Source organism: Homo sapiens, chromosome 8 (assembly GCF_000001405.40).
Source record: "Homo sapiens chromosome 8, GRCh38.p14 Primary Assembly".
NCBI classification, from domain to species: Eukaryota; Metazoa; Chordata; class Mammalia; order Primates; family Hominidae; genus Homo; species Homo sapiens.
In genome coordinates this window covers 128,313,242-128,316,853 of record NC_000008.11, presented here as the reverse complement: position 1 = coordinate 128,316,853, position 3,612 = coordinate 128,313,242, and the positions used below count along the sequence as shown (strand labels likewise).

The following is a 3,612-nucleotide window of genomic DNA, read 5'->3' as shown; positions in this document are numbered from 1 at the left end:
TGGAAATATCTAGGTAGAGCCTAATTGCTCTCTGTCCTTCTGCATCTGAATTTGCTGGTAGGGTTGAGCCTCCATTCTCTTGCTGTCATCACCTTCCTCTCCATGCTGTATGTTGGTTCCTGCTCCACAGCCCTATGATTTCTCCCCAGCGGTCATCAGCACCCTCATTGTCTGGCTTTGAACTCCTCTCTTGCTTTCACTCTAGTACCCTTCCTTCCTTGGTCACTGTTCCTTCTCCATCTCCTCCTAGAATTTACATCCTCTGTGAACCCTCAAATATTGGTGATCTCCAAATTCTCTGATTTCTGTCAGTCCATTATATTTTAGGAAAATTCCATTTCAATATACCAAAAGCTCAAATATATATCTATGCCACTCTGACTGCTTTTCTGAACCTCAGACTGGAATATCCAACCCCCTGCAAGATCTCTCCCTTAATGATTTCTAACTTCACTTGGTCAACACTGAATTCATCTTCCTGCTTCTCTAAAAACCTGTCCCCTCTGTACAGTAAGACTCAATATGTGATAACATCAACTATCTAGTTAATCCTCACTGATTCTCACCAGTGTCACTTTCATAGCATACACACACTCATACACTGTATATACATACACACCACACCCCATACACTGTGACTGTAGTCAAAGGCCAGATCCTCTCAGTTTTGACTCTAGACTTTTCTCCAACTCCATTCCCACTGCTCTTGAGCTGAGATTCTCATCACTGCTCACGTAGCCATTGGAAGAGTCTCCTCCTGCTCTCCTTACCTCCAGCCTCAGTCTCCTTGAATGAAAGCTGCATGATGCAGCCAAAGGAATTCTTTAAAATGCATATCAACCATAGCCCCCCTACGTCATACTCCCCATCTACTAGTGCCTGTAGAATAAAGTCCTAGCTCTTAAGCATAGCCAACCAAATCCTCCTTGACCTGATCCTAGAGTCCCTTTACTGTCTCCATAAGAAATTTGCCACCAACCAGCACCATGATATCTTCAAACACTTTACTGAAGATCTGGGGGCAATTGATGTCAATAAAAAACTATTGATTAAAAAAACAAACATTAGTGGAAATGTGATCTACAAAGTAGAGATTTGGAACACATACTTTAGTTATACCAAATTCTACTGCCCCTCCAATGCCATAGCACTTAACTAGCTAGGTGGCATGGAAAAAGAAAAGGGTGTGCAGCCACAAGAAAGACAGAGGGAGTTCTTTATCTACTGACATGGACATATGATCATTTATTTAAGGAGCCCCCTATTGATGGAAATAGAGATAGTTGCTAATCTTTACAATTTACATTACTAAGATATCGGTCTGTCTGTCCGCCTTAGGGACAGTAGGCCTGAAGGGCGGGCAGAGTAAAACTGGGGACCCTAGTTACAGAGCAATAGGCCAGCTAAGAGAAGGGAGGTATTTAAGGACCTAGAGGCCCTGGACTTAAGGCATTTAACCTTGCTAGGAGAAATGCAATAAATCAGTAATTTCAGTGCATTCATTCATTTAACACATTTATTCAGCATCTATTATGTTCTTCGGGCTCTATCAAGCCCTGAAGATAAAGTATGGAATAAACACTTGACCAGTCTCTGCCATCATGGAGCTTTCAGCCTATTGAGGAAAGACGGGTAAGTATTTCAGAAGGGGCTAATCCAGCCTGGCGAGAGGATGGAAGTGGTTTTCAGTAAGAGCTGCACTCAGCAGCGATCACAGAGGTAGAAAAATCGCTTATCAGTGGTTCTCCAAGTGTGGTCTTGATCTGTAGCAGAAGCATCACCTAGAAACTGGTTAGAAATGCACATTGTAGATACCACTGCAGACCTCTGGAATGATAAACTCTAGGATGGGTGGGGCCCAGCAATCTGTGCTTTAGTAAGCTCCCCCAGGGGGTCTTTACACAGCCACAATTTGGGAGCCACCACCTAGAAATCCAAAAGATATAAAGCAACTTTCTCTGGCTGGGACTGATCTGGAAAGCTTAAGGCAGGAAGTGACCTATGAGCCCACCTTCAAAGGAGAGTGAGAGTTCCCCAGGAGGACAATCAGAGCTGGTGGGGAACATTCCAGAAATTCCAGGTGTTTGTGTTCCTGAGCCAGCTCGTAGTACCTCCAACCTACATATTTTTCTTAATAGATTTAGAACTAAATCGGGGGAAATGACTTATGCACAAAGTTATTAGCTGCATTTTTGCAAACAACGTAAACACCCGTCAGCAGAAGACTTGTTGAATCAACTCTGATTCATGCATGTAAATGAGGACTCTTCCTCAGTTTAGAAGGAGAGAAGTCTTTATCTACTGACTGGGAGGTGAGTTGTAAAATACAGTGCTCAGTACAAAAAGCCAGCTGCAAAATCATGCTACCTTGTCTGTGAAAAAATAAAACCATACATATATGTGTAGAATACTGCAGAGATGCATAAGAAACCAGTAACAGTAGTTTGCCTCTCAAGTGGCGAATTTAAGGAAGCAGGATAGGAGAGGCGGGTGATCTTCACTGGACACCACTTTGCACCTTTTCAATTTTGTTTTATGTACATAGGGTTACCAATGTAAAGAAACAGGAGAGATATCCTCTTCAATAGGCGAACAAGTGGAGGGGAGAGGAGAAGGCGCCTGTTCTGAACACCCTCTCTCAATCTCACCCCTGTGACACCTCTTGGGGAATTTGGCAGGGTGGGGGATGTGACAGGGAGGGGTGCTCGGTGTGGTGTTATATTTATTGCTTTCAGTACCTATTTTGTTCTAACAGGATGTGCTGCTTAGGGTCGCAGCCCAGGACCAAAGTAATAAAAAGGTTGCTGTTCTTGTTACAAACCTTGAGTTCCTGGTATTTGGGAAATGGTCACTGAATAGAGCAACAGCGGGGGTGGGAGACAGAGGTGCAAGAATTGGGGGAGGGGCACAAACAACCACTGTGGTGGGAAAGGGGCCCCATGGGGAGCTCCATTCAGAAAAAGAACAATTGGTGGTTTCAGGCAGCTGAGCTGAGAGCAGGGAGGGAAATGAGACAGCCTATGAGAGAGGAAGACACTGACCCTTGCCACTATCCAAAAAAGGAAACAAAAAATAGGTGCAAAAGAAGTGGCTTTTCATACAAAACGCTTCTTGGTTTAGCAGCTTTTGGCACTCTCAGAAAAGATTATCTTGACATCTCTTTTCTATCTCGGCTTCCCCATGTCCCTGGAAAGAGAGGGAGCTCACCTGGGATTACAAAGCACCAAGTACGCATCTCGTTCTGCTTACTGTCCCTTTTTGTGGTCACCTTGAATCCTCTCCAAATCTCTTCCAGAAAAACATCCATTTTGCAGATATGAAACTGAGGCTTCGAGCAGCAAAGTAACTTTCCCAAAGTGGTCATAGTGGAGCCAGACTTTGAACCCAGGTCTTTCAGACTCTAAAGCCTCTACTACACTTTGCTGCACTTGCTATACGATTTTAGACTTCTCATTTTGCCTCTCTGATTTACAGTGTCAAGTGTAGTGTTCATGTTCACTGTACAGGCAGAGATAGAGAGAGAGAGAGAGAGAGAGAGAGAGAGATGGTGTGCTACACTTAGCTAAGGAAAGATCTCTTCTCAGACTCTGAAACCACTCTACTTGGAATCAG

The 3,612-nt window shown here is 43.9% G+C and overlaps 4 annotated features.

Moving 5' to 3' along the window:
• Positions 1,295 to 1,977: an enhancer, noted in NCBI's record as "OCT4-NANOG-H3K27ac hESC enhancer chr8:129327123-129327805 (GRCh37/hg19 assembly coordinates)". NCBI's record gives its function as "activates a minimal SCP1, AML or CMV promoter by ChIP-STARR-seq in naive H9 embryonic stem cells {active_cell/tissue: H9 hESC(naive)}" and the evidence as "EXISTENCE:reporter gene assay evidence [ECO:0000049][PMID:30033119]".
• Positions 2,604 to 2,763: an enhancer, noted in NCBI's record as "active region_27962". NCBI's record gives its function as "activates an Ori minimal core promoter by ATAC-STARR-seq in GM12878 lymphoblastoid cells {active_cell/tissue: GM12878}" and the evidence as "EXISTENCE:reporter gene assay evidence [ECO:0000049][PMID:35858748]".
• Positions 2,604 to 3,345: a biological region, named in NCBI's record as "OCT4-NANOG-H3K27ac hESC enhancer GRCh37_chr8:129325755-129326438".
• Positions 2,662 to 3,345: an enhancer, noted in NCBI's record as "OCT4-NANOG-H3K27ac hESC enhancer chr8:129325755-129326438 (GRCh37/hg19 assembly coordinates)". NCBI's record gives its function as "activates a minimal SCP1, AML or CMV promoter by ChIP-STARR-seq in primed H9 embryonic stem cells {active_cell/tissue: H9 hESC(primed)}" and the evidence as "EXISTENCE:reporter gene assay evidence [ECO:0000049][PMID:30033119]".